Source organism: Homo sapiens, chromosome 12 (genome assembly GCF_000001405.40).
Source record: "Homo sapiens chromosome 12, GRCh38.p14 Primary Assembly".
Taxonomy (NCBI): Eukaryota; Metazoa; Chordata; class Mammalia; order Primates; family Hominidae; genus Homo; species Homo sapiens.
In genome coordinates this window covers 104,237,929-104,257,674 of record NC_000012.12, presented here as the reverse complement: position 1 = coordinate 104,257,674, position 19,746 = coordinate 104,237,929, and the positions used below count along the sequence as shown (strand labels likewise).

Below are 19,746 nucleotides of genomic sequence, written 5' to 3'. Positions count from 1 at the left end.
CACTTTGGGAGGCTGAGACGGGTGGATCACCTGAGGTCAGGAGTTCAAGACCAGCCTGGCCAACATGGGGAAACCCCGTCTCTATTAAATATACAAAAAAATTAGCCGGGCGTGGTGGTGGGCACCTGTAATCTCAGCTACTCGGGAGGCTGAGGCAGGAGAATCACTTGAACTCAGGAGGCGGAGGTTGCAGTGAGCCAGGATTGTACCACTGCACTCCAGCCTGGGCGACAGAGTAAGACTCTGTTTCAAAAAAAAAAAAAAAAAAAAAGCATTGGAACACTTAATGTTTCCAAAGCATTATGTGGCAAACCTGGGAAAAATATATTCTACAATAGTTAAAGTATTATTTCTTTTTTGGCTGAGTAACCCTCAACCAATAAATCAGTTACAAAAAACCTATTATGCTCTGAGACTATTAAATAAAACAAACAAACAAAAAATCTTATGCTCATGGTTATACAAATTATACTGGTAAAAAACAAAATTTTATTTAAAAGTTACTTATACTACTAGATAACATTTAAACTACTGACACAAGAGACTTTTATGTACAAGACACAAACAGCCTGTCAATAATTTAGGAAAGTTTAGAACCATATTCCTCCAGTTATACAATAAAATTTAAAAGGCCAGAGTAGCCTGAAGTTCACAGAGATGATCAATGAGGAAAATGATTCTTGAAAAAAAAAAAAAAAGAAAAGAAAATATATTCTCATCTCATTCTAAACTTAACTACTAAAACAGTACTTCCTATTGTATGGAAGTACACTCGGAGATTTCTATCATTTCTATAGGACCAAATTCAACATTTTGATAAAATGGGAAAATATGTTCATTCATACAACCTCATTAGTCTTCTTTTTCTTTCTTTTTCTTTTTCTTTTTTTTTTTTTTTGAGACAGAGTCTCACTTTGTCACCAGTGGAGTGCAGTGGCACTATCTCGGCTCACTGCAATCTCTGCCTCCCCGGGTTCAGGCGAGTCTCCTGCCTCAGCCACCCAATTAGGTGGGGTTACAGGCATGCGCCACCACACCCAGCCAATTTTTGTATTTTTAGTAGAGACGCGGTTTCACCATGTTGGCCAGGATGGTCTCTATCTCCTGACCTCGTGATCTGCCCACCTCGGCCTCCCAAAGTGCTGGGATTACAGGCATGAGCCACCATACGCAGCCAGTAGCCTTTTTCTTAAACTCTTTTAGATGTCACCTAAGCCCCAGTCTGAATCTGAATTCAGTTCCCCCCACCACTCTGAAATAGCTATAAGAAATAAATATTGCAATTCTGAAAAGGTGGAGAGGGATTATCTTTGCACTTTAAAACCTCTTCACAGCAAGATGCACGCAAAACACATATGGTAACTAATGTGTTATGCAAGAGCGGAAAGCTACCTTTACGTAGACGTTAGTTTCCTTATGGGCACTTCCCACCTTGAATTAATGCAAATGACATTACTCATCCCATAGAGAAATACACATTCATCAGACCAAGTACAAATATAAAAACAAAGTTTCTCTATTCTGATTTACTCATATCCCAGTTGTTAAATGAGATGATTAAATAAAAACTAAAGAAAATAACCTGGGAAAATTCTACTTCAAGGTAATTTAAATAAATAAATAAATGTGAACAGCTAAGTATATGAGTTGTACACCCTCAGAAGAAATTCACCACTTTACCAGGAAAAGCACCTAATCATCTTTCATGGCCAAAGACATCGAAAATTAATTTCCAAATTAACTGGCACCAATCTGAAAACAATCTGAAATCAACAAGGTAAAACCAGGGGATGTTTATCTAGAAGACTTGACATACCCAGGGATTGTTTGGATAATGATATTAAATAAATTTGCCAGGATGACTATATGTTGTTGTTGTTGTTGAGACAGTTTCACTTTTGTTGCCCAGGCTGGAGTGCAATGGTGCGATCTTGGCTCACTGCAACCTCTGCCTCCCGGGTTCAAGCAATTCTCCTGCCTCAGCCTCCCTAGTAGCTGGGATTACAGGCATGCATCACCAAGCCCGGCTAATTTTTGTATTTTTAGTAGAGACGGGGTTTCTCCATGTTGGTCAGGCTGGTCTCCTGACCTCAGGTGATCCGCCCGCCTCGGCCTCCCAAAGTGCTGGGAGTACAGGTGTGAGTCACTGCGCTCGGGCAACTGTATGTTTAAATAAGCATGCAAATAACTAACCAACAAATGTTATAGGAAAAGTTCTTCATTCCCAGGCTAGTTTTAATTAAGTAAAACTGGGGGAAATATAGGCAAGGCTTTACATTTTCAGGGATAGGCAGGAGAGCTGGGAAATGAGGGAGTTAGTAGATTTCAGAGATAACAGTAAGAATAAGAACATTCTGGGGCATAATAGGGACTAAAAAAAAGAAAAGAAAAAAAGAACAATGATAGGTCAAAGAGATCTGGGATTGCAAGGAGCATACTGACTATCTACCACTAGTAGCAATCCTGACCGCTAGCCCAACTTTTCATTCCAGAACTACAGCAGGGTTAAAATTGGAATTTTCTGTTTATTTATTTATTTCTTAATTTTTATTTTTTTTATTTATTTATTTAGATAGAGTCTTGCTCTGTCACCCAGGCTGTAGCTTAGAGGCACGATCTTGGCTCACTGCCCCCTCAGCTTCCTGAGTTTTAAGTGATTCTCATGCCTGTGCCTCCTGAGTAGCTGGGATTACAGGCATTCACCACCATGCCTGGCTAATTTTTGTAGTTTTAGAAGAGACAGGGTTTCACCATGTTGCCTAGGCTGGTCTTGAACTCCTGGCCTCAAGTGATCTGCCTGTCTCAGCCTCCCAAAGTGCTGGGATTACAGGTGTGAGCCACTGCGCCCATATGTATTTATTTTAGAGACAGGGTCTCACTCTGTCACCAAGGCTGGCGTGCAGTGGTATAATCATAGCTCACTGTAACCTTTAACTCCTGGGCTCAAGTGATCCTCTCACCTCAGCCTCCTGAGAAGCTAGGACTACAGGCACATGCAAACCATGCTGATATATATATATATATATATATTTTTTTTTTTTTTTCCATAGACATAGAGTCTTGTTATGCTGCCCAGACTGGTCTCGAACTCCTGGCTTCAGGTGAACCTCTTGCCTTGGCCTCCCAAAGCATTGAGATTACAGGCATAAGCCACTGTGCCCAGCTCCCGATTCTTTAATAATGTTTGAAAATATGAGTAGAGTGACCGAATGCCTGGCACATAGTTGGCACTCAAATGGTAGCTATTTACCCACTGATAGGATTAATTGTACTTAGCATTATGTCAGGTATTTGTTGATTACCATTTAATCTAGCCTCAGTACTGACAGAAGGAAGATTAACCACCCAAGGTTTTAAGTCCTGATAGGAAAAGGAAAAATGCAAGTAGTTCTTTTATTTAACAAACACTGATATAGTGTTTACTATGTCTCAGGTATGTTCTATGGCTTTTATAAATATTAATTAATTTAATCCTCATAACAAACTTACGATATAGATACTATTATCATCCACATTTTACAGATGGGGAAACTGTGGCACCACAGGTAAATAACTAAAGTCACATGGCTGATAAATCACAGAGCCAAGATCCACACTCTGACTTTAGAGTCCAGGCTCTTAACCTGTTTGGTAACGAAAAAGACTAGACAAGCACGTAATTTCAGAACTAAGAAAACCCTCAGGCTGGGCGCAGTGGCTCACGCCTATAATCCCAGCACTTTTGGAGGCTGGGGTGGGAGGATCACGACAAGCTCAGGAGTTCGAGACCAGCCTGGCCACATAGTGAAACCCCATCTCTACTAAAAATACAAAAATTAGCCAGGCATGGTGGTGTGCACCTGTAGTCCCAGCTACTTGGGAGGCTGAGGCAGGAGAATCACTTGAACCAGGAGGCGGAGGTTGCAGCGAGCCGAGATCACACCACTGCACTCCAGCCTGGGCAACAGAGCGAGACTCTGTCTCAAAAACAAAAACAAAAAAACCCTCAATAAGCAACTAGTTCAAGCCCTTCATTTTAAAGATTAAAAAAAAGGAAGTGGCAGGCGGTGCGGGGGAGGGGCAGTAGGTCCCAAAAGCAGATAAGAATTGCAGAGCTACATAATTAAGCCCCTAGAGGCCAAGAATTACATAGCAGATTTCTAATGCCCAGCCCTCTTCTAAATTCTCTAGCACTTGCTGCCTGTCCAATCATGTAGAATTTAGCATGGGTTATCTGAGATCATTTTTCTTCTTAAGCCTATGTTCTGCCCTCAGTTGAGCTAAACCCCCAGGGATGGGACTGTGTCTTCTGCCTCTTTGCAATCCTACTCCCAATATGATGTCCTACATGAAAGGCATCACTATCATATTGATAGGGATGAAGCCTAAGGTGGCATCGATGCAGAATGTGTTCAGGAGAGACACAAGGATGAAAGGGTCTCCGTACCTCAGTGTTTTTGCCGCCCACCTTCCTTTTTCTTTACTTGGGAAAAAAGTGCACGTGTGCACAGACACACACACATGCAGAACGAGAGAGAGAAACAGAGAGAGAGAGTCCAAAAAGCCCATAAGCCCATTTATTTCTATGTAAGGCTTCCAGAATAAAAAGACTTCTGAATTCAAACTCCTTGAGATCTGGAAAGTAAGTCATGGGGCAGACAAGTTGAGAGAAAATTAAACTTAATAATAAAATCGGCCGGGCGCGGTGGCTCACGCCTGTAATCCCAGCACTTTGGGAGGCCGAGGCAGGTGGATCACAAGGTCAGGAGATCGAGGCCATCTTGGCTAACACAGTGAAAACCCGTCTGTACTAAAAATACAAAAAATTAGCGGGGTGTGGTGGCGGGCACCTGTAGTCCCAGCTACTCAGGAGGCTGAGGCAGGAAAATGGCATGAACCCGGGAGACGGAGCTTGCAGTGAGCTGAGATCGCGCCACTGCACTCCAGCCTTGGCAACAGAGCGAGACTCCGTCTCAAAAAAAAAAAAAAAAAAAAAAAAAAAAAATATATATATATATATATATATATATATAAAAAATAATAAATTAACCTCTCAGTGAACCTGGACAGATGGCCAGTTATATTTACCTAAGACTCCATTGTGTAGGCCTAGAGCTAAACTTCAGTGACATTTAAATGCCCTCAGCCTTCCTATGAAGCACCAGACAGATCAGGTTTGCCTTTCAATTCTCACCTTCGTTAATGGTTAAGTCCACCCTGGTTTATTCAGGGTGGACTAAACTAATCCTCCCCTTGGCTGTAACCACTGACCTTTTCTCTCTGATAATCTAAGATTAAGAACCAAGTAGGAAACAGTTTATTCTTTGTGAAGTTATTTTCCCCATAATAAACCAAAGCATGAAGAGATATTTATCAAAATTTGGTAGTACCCTAAGTAACCATTCCTTATGAAATATTCCCTACAGACATATCTGAAAGGGCCGCAAATCAACCGGTTTGGTAACTCCCCCACCCTAACCTTCCCTGACCTCGACTACCTGAATATGTCTCATACTTCCCAAAAGCTCAGAAAGATTATTCAAACAATATTTTGTTATCAAATCCACATTTTACAATTACTCTGAAGCAAGTTACACCTACATATACTTTTCCTTTTTTTTTTTTTTTTTTTGAGATGGAGTCTGACTCTGTCCCCCAAGCTGGAGTGCAGTGGCACTATCTCGGCTCACTGCAACCTCTGCCTCCTGGGTTCAAGTGATTCTCCTGTCTCAGCCTCCCGAGTAGCTGCGACTACAGGCACATGACACCACGTTGGGCTAATTTTTGTATTTTTAGTAGAGATGGGGTTTCATCATGTTGGCCAGGATGGTCTTGATCTCTTGACCTTGTGATCCACTCACCTTGGCCTCCCAAAGTGCTGGGATTACAGGTGTGAGCCACCGCGCCCAGCCTACATACACTCTTCCTAAAGGTAAAATCCAGTTGTTTACATTTGAGCTCAAAAGTCTGTCAAATTCCTTCAATTCCATTTAAACCCCTTGAGTTTAAAGCCTTACCTCAGTACAGCGTGTGCATGTGGACCTACTGAAGATGACCACAGAGTGACCATCTATATAGGCCTGAAGCAGGGCTCTGGAGTCTGCAGTGGCCGTGCTGGTGAATCCTGCTGGGTTCTCTGGCAAAGTTTTACCAGGGTGATGATCTTTAGCTAGAAGTAATGGAAGTAAGGATGGTAATTATCACAAAGGAAAACATGATGATGCATTTTCTAATATTAGGTTCACTCTAAAAGCATTACCATTTAAGTCCCACAGGCCAAAATAAGGAATCTGAGGAAGGAAGGACTCTAATGAAGATTATAGATTTACTTCTTTCATCTGACTGGAACCTCTGACATATTATTCAATATTCCTAACTCAGATCACAGTCAAGATATGTTCTCAGGGGATCCTGCCAACAAGCCATAATCAGAACCTTCCCTGGACACAGGAAAATAAGTAACAGGTTGGAAATACTGAGGCCACATTTTATGCCATCTCTATTCCCAACCATGGTTTAAATGCAGAGAGGCCAAATGTCAGACAGATGTCCCCTTCCAACACAACCCTGCTTACAGACATAGGGGCAGACCACTCAAACCAAGGCTTACATGTTTTCTCCCAGGTTAACTCCTGGATAAGCAGACACAGGATCTTCAGGCAAGATGCAGCAAGACTGCAATAAAAATACTTACTGCGAATTATTTTCTCCTCAGGATTTTGTGCTGGCCCAATCAGGCATCAAAACAAACATGATCCAGCTTAGTGGTATGTTATTCCCACATGACAGCACTGTCATCCTGGGCATCATCACCAGTCAAAACCACCAAGAGATTGCTACCTCCAACTTGTAAAAATGTTTAAACTATCCATCTTCTTCAGGGCCCATGAATAAACCAAGTTCAAGCCCACCCTTACTACTTGTTCCTTAGGTGATTTCTTCTCATTTCTGCTGATCCAAGTAAGCCATTCATCCTTCTTCAATCTCCTTATCATCTTCATAGTTGATATTTGTATTTATCCAGAACTAGACAGAGGGTTAATGTTTATATGCCTCCTTTCATTTAATCCTTCCAGCAATATCGTTAGGTGGGCACTGCTACCATCATCCCCATTTTACAAACAAGGACACAGACTCAGAGAGGTTATGCAACTTCCTCAGGGTTGCACAGCTTACAATAAGTAATGGAGCTAAAATTCAAACTTAGGTTATCATTCTCTAGAACCTACACTTTAAAAAAAACAGCTTTAAAATATAGAAGTCTTTTTGAAATATAGTTTTAAATTTTGATCAAGTCAAATTTATCTTTTTCTTTTTTGCTTATACTTTTGGTGTCATATCTAAGAAACTATTGCCTATTCCAAAGTCACAAGGATTTTATTTTTTTTGTAAGAGTCTTATAGTTTTAGTTCTTACTTTAGGACTATGATCCATTTTAAGTTAATTTGCATGTGTTCTATGAGGCAGGCATCCACTTTCTTCTTTTGCATGTGGATAACCTGCTGTCTCAGCACCATTTGTTGAAAAGACTAATCTTTCCCTATTGATGTATCTTGCCAACCTTGTCAAAAATCAATTGACCATAAATGTAAAGGTAGCGCCCATGCTTTTAACCAGTATGTTATACTGTCACTACACCTAGACTGATATTTAAATGGTGTTAATAAAATCAGCTAAATCCCCAAAATGTTTATTATTAATCATTATTATTATTAATCATTATGTCTAGTAAGCTTTCACTTTTTTTTTTTTTTTTTTTTGAGACGGCGTCTCGCTCTGTTGCCAAGGCTGGAGTACAGTGGCACGATCTCGGCCTCACTGCAAGCTCCGCCTCCCGGGTTCACGCCATTCTCTTGCCTCAGCCTCGCGAGTAGCTGGGACTACAGGCGCCTGCCACCACGCCCGGCTAATTTTTTGTATTTTTAGTAGAGACGGGGTTTCACCATGTTAGCCAGGATGGTCTTGATCTCCTGACCTCGTGATCTGCCCACCTTGGCCTCCCAAAGTGCTAAGATTACAGGCGTGAACCACCGCGCCTGGCAAGCTTTCACTTTCATCGTACTTTTGGTACTATGTGTTTTTAAACCATGAACATGTATTATTTTATAAAAATAGTTTTTAGAAAGATAGTTAATTTAAGAAATTTTTAAATAACCCCTATCATACAATGTCAAGACAGGGTCAACAACCAAGAGACTGTTTCATTATATACCAGACAATCAAATGTTACTAATACTTAACATATGGATAGAAAAGTGAAGAGGAACATAGAAATCTCCTTATCTTTGAGATATAAGCGCTATGATCTGAATGCTTCTATACCTCTAAAATTTCTCTGTCAAAATCTTAATTCTCAAAGTGACAGCATTAGAAGGAGGGGCCTTTGGGAGGTGATTAGGAGCCCTCAAGAATGGGATTAGCGCAGTTATGAAAGAAACTCCAGAGAGCCCATCTCCCCTTCCACCATGTGAGGACACAGCAAGAAGGTACCTACTGAGAATCAGGAAGTGGGCCCTCACCAGACGTGGAATCTACTGGCACCTTGATCTTGGACTTCCTAGGCCACAGAACTGTAAGAAATTGTTTTCTGTTGTTGATAAGCCTCCTAGTTTATGTTATTTTGTTTTACCAGCCTGAACAGATAAGAAAATGAGAAGTGGGTTCTTCTTAAAGAAAAACTAGCTTGTTGTAATTTCTCGCTTGTAATTTCTCTGGGCCCGGGGCGGTGGCTCATGCCTGTAATCCCAGCACTGGGAGGCTAGGCAGGAGAATCACTTGAACCTGGGCGGGGGAGGTTGCAGTGAGCCGAGATCGTGCACTCCAGCCCAGGTGAGAGTGCGAGAGACTATCTCAAAAAAAGAAAAAAAAAGAAAAGAAAAACTAACATCTGTGCCAATTAATTATAGGATCCCAGAAGAGCAATGGGACTTATTTGTTGCAGAGTATACCAGACCAATCTATACCTGCAGTATCTGCCGTAAGTGGAAGGGAGGCCTTTCAACCCTTATTTGCATCTGAATAACCAAGACTTCCTAGGTCTCATCCTTGTCCCTAACCTACTGAATCAGACTTGCAAGGCATGGGCCTAAGCATGCATATTTGTGTGTGTGGCCAGGCGCGTGGCTCACACCCGCCCGTAATTCCTGCACTTTGGGAGGCGATGCAGTTGGATCACCTGAGGTTAGGAGTTTGAGACCAGCCCGACCAACATGGTGAAACCCCATCTCTACTTAAAATACGAAAATTAGCTGGGTGTTGTGGCACGCGCCTGTAATCCCAGCTACTTGGGAGGTTGAGGCAGGAGAACTGCTTGAACCCAGGAGGTGGAGGTTGCAGTGAGCCAAGATCGCACCACTGCACTCCAGCCTGGGCAACAGAGTGAGACTCTGTCTCCAATAAATAAATAAGTAAATAAATAAATAAACAAACATATTTATGTGTGTATATATTCATATATGTTCACACACATATATGCATATACTTTAAATGTTCACTGGTAGTTCTAATGCATACTGTTAATTAAGAACTATTGGACTAAAGCAACATGACACATGACGATAGCCTCATCCATGACACTTCAAAATTTTAAAATTAAACTCTAGTTCTCATTTTCTGTTCTCCATTTTTCTTATTTTAAAAAGTAACGTATAAGTAAACATTCCTCGTGGTAACATTTCAGAGAATGAGAATCACAGAATGTTAGCTTGGGAGAGACATCTGGGGTCACTAGGCCAACTGTGTTCATTCCACTGATGAGGAAACTGAGGTCCAGTCAGGTCATTAATTGGTATCAGCGTCAGAGCTGTCACACAAGCCTCCTGATTCCATAACGCCTTACTGACTCCTTCGATTTCATGGGATGACTGACTCTAAAAGCAGGTGACAATTCCTTACATAACATCTATGCCAAGGGCACCACCCAACTATTAGGCTCAGATATTTGCCAAGACACAGAACAGAGAAGGCCATTACAAGGAAAGGAATAACTTCTGTGATTAAGAAGAACTGCATTCTTACTGGGGAGAGACTGTTTACCAAAAAAACAAACAAACAAAAAAATGTACAAATAGATGGAAAGATAAATAGATAGGTAAATAAATCATAAGAGGTTAGCCACTAACTGTAATCAAAATCATCAGAATTTTTCCTTAAATTCTGCCTCTAACAAAAAAGGAAAATAAAATTTTGTTTATGTTTATCATTTGCTTATTTTTCCCCCTCAATTTTGAAATAAAATTTGAAGCAGCATTCAAAGAAATATGTTAAGTAAATGTTGCAGGAACAGCACAGAACCAGGCAGTCAGAAAAATGCAGATAAAACTGTAATGGGCCAGGCGTGGTGGCTCACACCTGTAATCCCAGCACTTTGGGAGGCTAAGGCAGGCAGATTGCCTGAGGTCACGAGTTTGAGACCACCCTGGCCAACATGGTGAAACCCTGTCACAATGAAAAATACAAAAATTAGCCAGGCATAATGGCGGGTGCCTGTATTCCCAGCTACTTGGGAGGCTGAGGAGGGAGAATCACTTGAACCCGGGAGGCATAGTTTGCAGTGAGCTGAGGTTGCGCCATTGCACTGCAGCCTGGGCGACCGTGAGACTCTGTCTCAAAAACAAACAAACAAACAAACAAACAAAAAACTGTAATGATAAGTTGCTTTCATTTTGCCCCAACTTTTTTGCCTAAGATCAATTCCTAATATTTGGATCCATGAAGTACTTACTATCCACTTGTAACAACTGAAACTAAAGAGTAATAATAAAATAGTCTCCCTACTTGTATTTATAAAAGTAAACAGAGATCAGTAAAAGAGATTAGATAGACCAGAAAGAGACAAATACAGAATCATTTATGATTTTTAAAAAGCCATCATGTGGCCGGGTACAGTGGCTCACACCTGTAATCCCAGCACTTTGGGAGACCGAGGCGGGCGGATCACAAAGTCAGGAGATCGAGACCATCCTGGTCAACATGGTGAAACCCAGTCTCTACTAAAAATACAAAAATTAGCTGGGTATGGTGGTGCACGCCTGTAATCCCAGCTACTCAGGAGGCTGAGGCAGGAGAATGGCTTGAACCTGGGAGGCAGAGGTTGCAGTGAACCGAGATCGCACCACTGCACTCCAGCCTGGTGACAGAGCGAGACTGCATCTCAAAAAAAAAAAAAAACCATCACAAAGCAATAAAATGTACTTTCAAAATAGTATGGCAATGATGACTTGATAATTTGGGGAAAAGTTTTTTGTTTTTTTGTTTTTTTGTTTTTTTGAGATGGAGTCTCGCACTGTCGCCCAGGCTGGAGTGCAGTGGCGCGATCTTGGCTCACTGCAAGTTCCGCCTCCCAGGTTCATGCCATTCTCCTGCCTCAGCCTCCCGAGTAGCTGGGACTACAGGCGCCCGCCACCATGCCTGGCTAATTTTTTTGTATTTTTAGTAGAGACGGGGTTTCACCGTGTTAGCCAAGATGGTCTCGATCTCCTGACCTCATGATCCACCCGCCTCGGCCTCCCAAAGCGCTGGGATTACAGGTGTGAGCCACTGTGCCCAGCTGGGAAAAGTTTTTTTTTTTTTTTTTTGAGACAGAGTCTCGCTGTATCGCCCAGGCTCCAGGCTGGAGTGCAGCGGCGCGATCTCAGCTCACTGCAAGCTCCGCCTCCCGAGTTCACGCCATTCTCCTGCCTTGACCTCCCGAGTAGCTGGGACTACAGGAGCCCGCCACCACGCCTGGCTAATTTTTTTGTATTTTGTTTAGTAGAGACGGGGTTTCACCATGTTAGCCAGGCTGGTCTCGAACTCCTGACCTCGTGATACGCCCGCCTCGGCCTCCCAAAGTGCTGGGATTACAGGCGTGAGCCACCGCGCCCGGCCCCGAAATGTCATTTCTTACATACAAAAAAAATGAAAACTCCCAGTGCTGATAAATGTACACTGAAGTGAGTCCACAGGGCTGTGTAACACAAGCTAATACTATTCTTTTGAAAAACAATTTGACAGTGTGGGTCAAAAACTACTCAAATGGCCATACTTTTTTTTTTTTTTTTTTTTTTGAGACAGGGTCTTGCTCCAACACCCAGGCTGCAGTGCAGTGGCTCCATCTCGGATCTCGGCTCACTGCAACCTCCTGAGATGGCCATACCTTTTAACTCAGTATTCTTTTTTTTTTTTTTTTTTTTTTTTTGAGATGGAGTTTCGCTCTTGTTGCCCAGGCTGGAGTGCAATGGTGTGATCTCGGCTCACCGCAACCTCTGCCTCCCAGGTTCAAGTGATTCTCCTGCCTCAGCCTCCTGAGTAGCTGGGATTACCGACATGTGCCTGTGCCACCATGCCCAGCTAATTTTGTATTTTTAGTAGAGACGGGGTTTCACTATGTTGGTCAGGCTGGTCTGGAACTCCCAACCTCAGGTGACCCGCCTGCCGCAGCCTCCCAAAGTGCTGGGATTACAGGCGTGAGCCACCGCGCCGAGCCTTAACTCAGTATTCTTATTTGTGACGACTAGCTTTAAAAAAAAAAATCTAAAATAATGAAAACATTGAAAGACCCCTACCTCCTAGCCTTCTCTTAGGAAAAGCTTTCAGTAGTTTTTATTAACATAGCTATTATCACCTAGTTAAATGGGGATAGTCCCAAATTCCCTTTCAATAAAAGTGCTATAGCTTTAGGATCAATCATGTTAACTTCCTGTAAAACCCAGTGGAACAAAACAGGCCACAGGCCTATCAATACTCACCATTCCGGACCTCCTGAACATGTCCATAACCTTTCTAGATACAGGGACAAAGTTATACCTTGCCACAGCTTTTCTCTCTCCCAAGCCTAAGCTGCAAAGAGGTTCTCTCCCTGCTCTACAGCCTACACCCCTTTCTTTTCCCTGTCTTCAATCCCTTCTTTTTATCCAATTATTACCAATGATTTCATTGTAACATCATTAGCTATTGCAAAAAATTAGAAACAACAAATGTCTGACATTAGAGGAATGGCTAAATTACAGTAGCTCTCTTGTTCTAACCTTATTTAGTGGCTGCATACTATTCAAGATTCAAAATAATGTAGAAATAGTTTGACACAATTGTTAGTTTTTTAAAAACCTAGAATACCAAGTCCTATGTACCATAGTTTTACAATTCTGTGAAACTCGACATATAGGAATCCTGAAAAAGAATGTGCAAAATGGTCATATTAGTTATATTGGCGTGACAGAATTATCCATGACTTTTCTTTCCTGTATTTCCCAAACTTAAAAAAAAAATTAAAGTTGCATACCAGCCTATTGCATTTGTTCCTGTCTCTGACTTCACTAAACAGAGAAATTCATTGAAATCTTTGTACTCTTAGGGATATAAAGCAAGATATTTGAACTGTGGGATTAGTAAAGGGATTACTAAAGGAAAACACTTCCACTCCAGGACACTCCTCCTCAAGAAACATCTTCATACAATTCATATGTGTTTGTACCTGCCAAAACCACTGACTCTCACCCATGACTACTGCCACCTGAAAGCCTGCAGAGAGCCAGGTTTTGAGTGGCTCTCAGTCTACACATTGCTTAGAGAGCTATATAACTGATACTTATCTCTTTGGAGAAACCTTGATCAGCCACTTAGCTGTGGGAAGAAGCTCTAGTTTGACAACAGAGGAACATCACGGTACATAAGGAATGCAACTTAACTGGGGGAAACTGGAAAACAGAAAGGTAGCATGAAATATGAAAAGCACAGGTAATAAAGCCACTGTCCTATTTTGAGTTATCCCCAAGTGGCATTTCACAGTAAACCAGGACAATGAATGAACTTCAAAGCAGGGAAACAAAGGGGAAAGCAAAGAGGAGCCTGGCAGATGAAAGCACATGGCAAGGCTAAACACAGACTAAAACTGCCATGTGTTAGAACTTGAGTTTTCGCCATTAATGAGCAACACGATCACTTCAAGTGTGATGATAAAAATTTTATAGCACGCCACTCTGCCTGCTGTCTTCACTTTCTGGTTTACAGGTTTGTCATGCACATATTTTTACTCGTTGCCTGTGGTTAAAAGCATCTGGACTGCAAGTCAGAAGAAATCAAGGATTTCCACAGAACCCCAGACCTCTTAACAAAACTCATTCAGTTCAAGCTCAAGGAGTATGGCAAACACACCACCACTCTCAGAAGATTCCTTTTAACAAAGTAAGAATTATTACAATATTATATTCAACCCACAAGACACACAAATATTACTCTTGGGTCTGACAAGACCCCATCAAGTAAAGAAGTTACTCCATAAGAGACCCAAGAGTGGGGAAGCTTAAATGGGTAAGCTATACCCATTACAGTGTCTATAAATCAAGTGAAGACAAGAAAGTAGTTATATGTGTTTCTGAAAGTCTGTAGGATATGAGACAAGCTGGAAAAATAAAACAGAAGTCTTTATGGAAACACACGGAAGGAAGACTAAAGACTCCCTAAAAGGACATGATAATGAATTTCTAGTGTTGAAATTAATAATAAGTACATTGTAGTTATTAGTATTATTTATTTACCAAATTGAAATAAAACCCTAGGTAGGTTTTTTAGCCTTAAAAGGATTTTTAGTTTTTACAAATAAATGTCATAAGAAGAACTTAAGTGCTATAAAAAGGACTACAATATCCTGTTTATAGCTCTTGTGCTTGTACCTCCTTCAAAGGAGTCTTATTTAAGGTTAAGATTAAACCTTAGTTATGTTGGGGTCCTAGCCAAGAATTCCCACTTGCCTCACTCCACAGTTGTATTCTAATATGATTATATGCCAGGTCCAGGATTCAGTGGCTGCGTGAGCCTGAGAATACACATTTGAAAGGAACTCTCTTTTCTGCAGAGGACTGGTTTATGGAATGGTTCATGATAAGAGAAATTACGCCAGAAATCCATGTAGGCTACCACTGTAACTAGACACTGTGTGTTTGAGGTAGGAGAGGGTGGGGGTTAGTCTTGGTTTACTGGATCACTCAGCACCAAGAGTCTCCTGTCAGGGTTGGGCTCTACCACAGGGAACGTGGAAGAGGTACTGAAGGACCAAATGGAAGAAGAAAAACATATCCTTTCTTTCACCTAGCTGTAAATTTAATATTGATGCTGTTAATAAGATAAGAAAATCATTTTAAAAGCAATACTACAGAGCTTTTTTTTTTTTAGACGGAGTTTCACTCTTGTCGCCCATGCTGGATTGCAATGGCACAACCTCAGCTCACTGCAACCTCCACCTCCCAGGTTCAAGCGATTCTCCTGCCTCAGCCTCCCAAGTAGCTGGGACTACAGGCGTGCGCCACCATGCCTGGCTAATTGTTGTGTTTTTAGTACAGACGGGGTTTCACCATCTTGGCCAGGCTGGTCTCGAACTCCTGACCTCATGATCCACCCGCCTTGGCCTCCCAAAGTGCTGGGATTACAGGCGTGAGCCGCCGCACCCAGACACTACAGAGCTTTTAAAAAATCATTAGTAGGCCGGACACAGTGGCTCATGCCTGTAATCCCAGGACTTTGGGAGGCCAAGGTGGGTGGATCACCTGAGGTCAGGTGTTCAAGACCACTCTGGCCAACTTGGTGAAACCCCATCTCTACTAAAAATACAAAAAAATAGCCAGGTGTGGTGGCGTGCGCCTGTAATCCCAGCTACTCAGGAGGCTGAGGCAGGGAAATTGCTTGAACCAGGGAGGTGGAGGTTGCAGTGAGCTGAGATCGTGCCCTGCACTCTAGTCTGGGCGACAGTGAGACTCCATCTCAAAAAAAAAAAAAAAAAAAAATCATTAGTATAAAAAATAAAAGATGTTAAATGAAAAAATAAAATGTTAAAGTTTTTCTTAGCATATCACCTTTTAAAACTGACTTAAGAAATCAGACTTTTCACTGAGCATGGTGGCTCACGCCTGTAATCCCAACAGGGAGGCTGAGGAAGGAGCATCACTTGAGCCTAGGAGTTCAAGACTAGCCTGGGCAACACAGTGAGAACCCATCTCTACAAAATAAATAAATAAATAAATAAATAAAAGTAAAATTTAAAAAGAAATCAGACTGGCTGGGTGTGGTGGTTCACGCCTGTAAACCCAGCACTTTGGGAGGCTGAGGCGGGCAAATCACCTGAGGTCAGGAGTTCGAGACCAGCCTGACCAAAGTGGAGAGTCCGTCTCTACTAAAAATACAAAATTAGCCGGTCGTGGTGGCACATGCCTATAATCCCAGCTACTTGGGAGGCTGAGTCAGGAGAATCGCTTCAACGTGGGAGGCGAAGTTTGCGGTGAGCCGAGATTTGCCATTGCTCTCCAGCCTGGGCAACAACAGCAAAACTCCATCTCAAAAAAAAAGAAATCAGACTTTTCTCATCTGTGAGAGAAATACCATTGGCAGCCGGGCACAGTGGCTCACGTCTGTAATCTCAGCACTTTGGGATGCTGAGGCGGGCGGATCACCAGGTCAGGAGTTTGACACCAGCCTGGCCAACATGGTGAAACCCCATCTCTACTGAAAAATACAAAAATTAGCCAGGCATGTTGGCGTGAGCCCGTAGTCCCAGCTACTTGGGAGGCTGAGGCAGGAGAATCACTTGAACCTGTGAGGCAGAGGTTGCAGTGAGCCGAGACCATGCCACTGCACTCCAGCCTGGGCGACAGAGTGAGACTCTGTCTCAAAAAAAGAAAAAAAAAAACTGGGCGCAGTGACTCATGCCTGTAATCCCAACACTTTGAGAGGCCGAGGCGGGCGGATCACGAAGTCAGGAGATCGAGACCATCCTGGCTAACACGGTGAAACCCCATCTCTACTAAAAATGCAAAAATTAGCCAGGCATGGTGGCGGGCGCCTGTAGTCCCAGCTACTCAGGAGGCTGAGGCAAGAGAATCGCTTGAACCCAGGAGGCAGAAGTTGCAGTGAGTCGAGATAGTGCCATTGCACTCCAGCCTGGGTGACAGAGCAACACTCCAAAAAAAAAAAAAAATTCCACAAAGATACCTTTTCTGGACAAAAAACATATACACAGAAGACAATGTAGGTGCTTTTTCTGATTGTAAAACCTGAATTACAGTCATTAAAATATAAAAGGAATCTGTGGACAATTACTAAACTGATCCTTCATATAAACACATACTATATACCAGTTGAGAACTCAATTAAGCTAAAAAGTTCTCTTGCCTATACTAGACCAATAACTCTCACAATTTCACTAAATATGCTTTATACATATATACAGAAAATATGTTCTTTTTTCATATTGTTACCTTAGTATTAAGAATATCCAGTAAGTGGAGTAATCCTAGTTCACTAAAATGTTCAGTCAATGTGACCAACAACAGGGCTTAAAAGAAACTACCTCAATCTTCCCAGTTGAGATCTCTCACAAAAAGCTGAGAAATAAGACATGTGGTTACACTGTATTTCAACAGATTTCTTTTAACCCCAAGGTTTAAGAGAAAACTGCAGAAAACAATGGTACTTAGACTCTCTCTGATTCAGTAACATTTTCTGTTTCTCACACACACCTACAAACAGGATATCTGGAGGAAAATAAAACTTAATAAAAGATACCCTACCAATCTATACAATCTTGTCCAGAAAATACAAGGGGAGGGGCCATTTTCAAACTTATTTTATGAGGTCAGTAGCATCCTGATACTCAAACTAGACAGAGACAGTACAAGAAAAGGAAACTGTAAATCAATATCCCTCATAAACAAAGATGCAAAATTCTTCAACAAAATAATGGCAAATTGAATCCAGCAATATATAAAAGGAATAATAATATTCCACGAGCTAGTGGGGTTTGTCCTGGGAATGCAAGGCTGGTTTAGACTGCTCATATTAACAGTATAAAAAATTCAATTATATGCCAACGAATTAGATAATCTACATGAAATGAACAAATTCCTAGAAAGACATGATTACCCAAACTGAGTCAAGAAGAAATGAGGCTGGGTGTGGTGGCTCATGCCTGTAATCCTAGCACTTTGGGAGGCCAAGGTGGGTGGATCACCTGAGGCTAGGAGTTGGAGACCAGCATGGCCAACAAGGTGAAACCCCTGACTCTACTAAAAATACAAAATTTAGCCAGGCATGGTGGCACATACCTGTAATCCCAGTTACTTGGGAGGCTGAGGCATGAGAATCACTTGAGTCTAGGGAAAAAAAAGGAATGAGAAGCTAAATAGACTTATAATCTTGAATAGACAAGAGATTGAATTAGCAATAAAAACTCTTGGCCAGGTGCAGTGGCTCACACGTGTAATCCCAGTACTTCGTGAGGCCGAGGCAGGAGGATCATCTGAGGTCAGGAGTTTGAGACCAGCCTGACCAATATGGTGAAACCCTGTCTCTACTAAAAAGACAAAAAATTAGCCGGTTGTAGTGGCACACGCCTGTAATCCCAGCTACCCAGGAGGCTGAGACAGAAGAATCGCTTGAACCCAGGAGGCAGAGGTTGCAGTGAGCCGAGATCGCGCCATTGTACTCCAGCCTGTGGAGCAAGAGCGAAACTCCGTCTCAAAAAAAAAAAAAAAATTCCCACAAAGAAAAGCCCAGGCTCAGATGATTGTTGCTGATAAATTCTCCCAAACGTCTAACACAGAATTATCAGCAATTTTTCACACTCTTTCCAAAAACAGAAGAGGAGGGGATACTTTCCAATTCATTCTATGAGATTGGTATTACCCTGATTCCAAAACCAGACAAGGGCATCACATGAAAAGGGTGTGGTGGCGGGCATCTGTAATCCCAGCTACTTGGGAGGCTGAGACAGGAGAATCACTTGAACCCGGGAGGCAAAGGTTGCAGTGAGCTGAGATCACACCATTGCACTCTAGCCTGGGCAACAGTGCAAGACTCTGTCGCAAAAAAAAAGAAAAGAAAACCACAGACCAATGCCCTTTGTAAATATAGACAAAAAAAATTATCCACAAAACATTAACAAACCAAATCCAGCAATATATAAAAATTTTATACACCACAACTGAGTGAAATTTATCCCAGGATAAACCTTGCACAGGTTGATTAAACATATGAGAATCAATCAATGCAATACATCATATTAATAGAATAAAGAATGAAAACCACACAGTTATTTCAACAGATACAAACATTTGACAGAGTCTAACACCCTTTCATGATAAAAAACACTCAACAAACTAGGAATAAAAGGAAACTTTTCTACCTGATAAAGGTCATCTATGAAAAACCCACAACATCTTTTTTTTTAAGGCTGTAAATAGTTCAAAATAAGTTTCCTTGACTCTGAAAAACAAAACAAGGATCAGCAACATTTCAAGCAAAAGTCAAAAAGGGTGCTTTAACTTTCTGAGTGCAATCCATTTAGTTAACTTGTGTTTTGCTTGATATTTGTGAACATGTCAGTTCTTTATGAGTCCCATACATTCTTTCTCTATGTCAATGTTACAATATTAAAAGCTATTAAAAACCTGCATTTGAGAACACCTGTTAACGTCCTTAATATAGCTTGATTATAAACCGTCTTTTGAGAAAGAACAAAGCAAGACAACAATTGTCTGCGAATGACAAAATTTGCAGGTTAGTTAAAAACATGACTGTAGACCACCTATTTGCATTTTGATGACGCTTGCATTTTACCAATAATCCTTGAGACTATTTTTATTTCTTAAAGTCATGTGAACTAGAAAATTTTTTATTTAAGCGTTTATTTTTCTTTTTTCTTTTTTTCTTTTTTTTTTGAGATGAAGTCTTGCTCTGTCACCCAGGCTGGAGCGCAGTGGCGTGATCTCAGCTCACTGCAACCTCAGCCTCGTGGGTTCA

General features: G+C 41.6%; 1 protein-coding gene across 1 annotated transcript in view, besides 4 other annotated features; it reads right to left on the bottom strand.

The window, feature by feature from the left end:
* TXNRD1 (thioredoxin reductase 1) overlaps window positions 1-19,746 on the bottom strand; it is a 134,529-nt gene that overhangs the window by 92,633 nt on the left and 22,150 nt on the right. The window contains exon 2 of the mRNA NM_001093771.3: window positions 5,997-6,148. Within this exon, the coding sequence (NP_001087240.1) occupies window positions 5,997-6,148 (152 nt within the window). The remainder of the gene's footprint in view (window positions 1-5,996; window positions 6,149-19,746) is intronic.
* Window positions 1,098-1,267: an enhancer, noted in NCBI's record as "experimental_23801 CRE fragment used in MPRA reporter constructs". NCBI's record gives its function as "activates a minimal promoter by MPRAs in K562 erythroleukemia cells, with activity observed for both the introgressed and non-introgressed 12:104650271 variant alleles {active_cell/tissue: K562}" and the evidence as "EXISTENCE:reporter gene assay evidence [ECO:0000049][PMID:34662402]".
* Window positions 13,626-13,795: an enhancer, noted in NCBI's record as "experimental_23792 CRE fragment used in MPRA reporter constructs". NCBI's record gives its function as "activates a minimal promoter by MPRAs in K562 erythroleukemia cells, with activity observed for the non-introgressed 12:104637743 variant allele {active_cell/tissue: K562}" and the evidence as "EXISTENCE:reporter gene assay evidence [ECO:0000049][PMID:34662402]".
* Window positions 15,546-15,715: an enhancer, noted in NCBI's record as "experimental_23788 CRE fragment used in MPRA reporter constructs". NCBI's record gives its function as "activates a minimal promoter by MPRAs in K562 erythroleukemia cells, with activity observed for both the introgressed and non-introgressed 12:104635823 variant alleles {active_cell/tissue: K562}" and the evidence as "EXISTENCE:reporter gene assay evidence [ECO:0000049][PMID:34662402]".
* Window positions 16,021-16,190: an enhancer, noted in NCBI's record as "experimental_23786 CRE fragment used in MPRA reporter constructs". NCBI's record gives its function as "activates a minimal promoter by MPRAs in K562 erythroleukemia cells, with activity observed for both the introgressed and non-introgressed 12:104635348 variant alleles {active_cell/tissue: K562}" and the evidence as "EXISTENCE:reporter gene assay evidence [ECO:0000049][PMID:34662402]".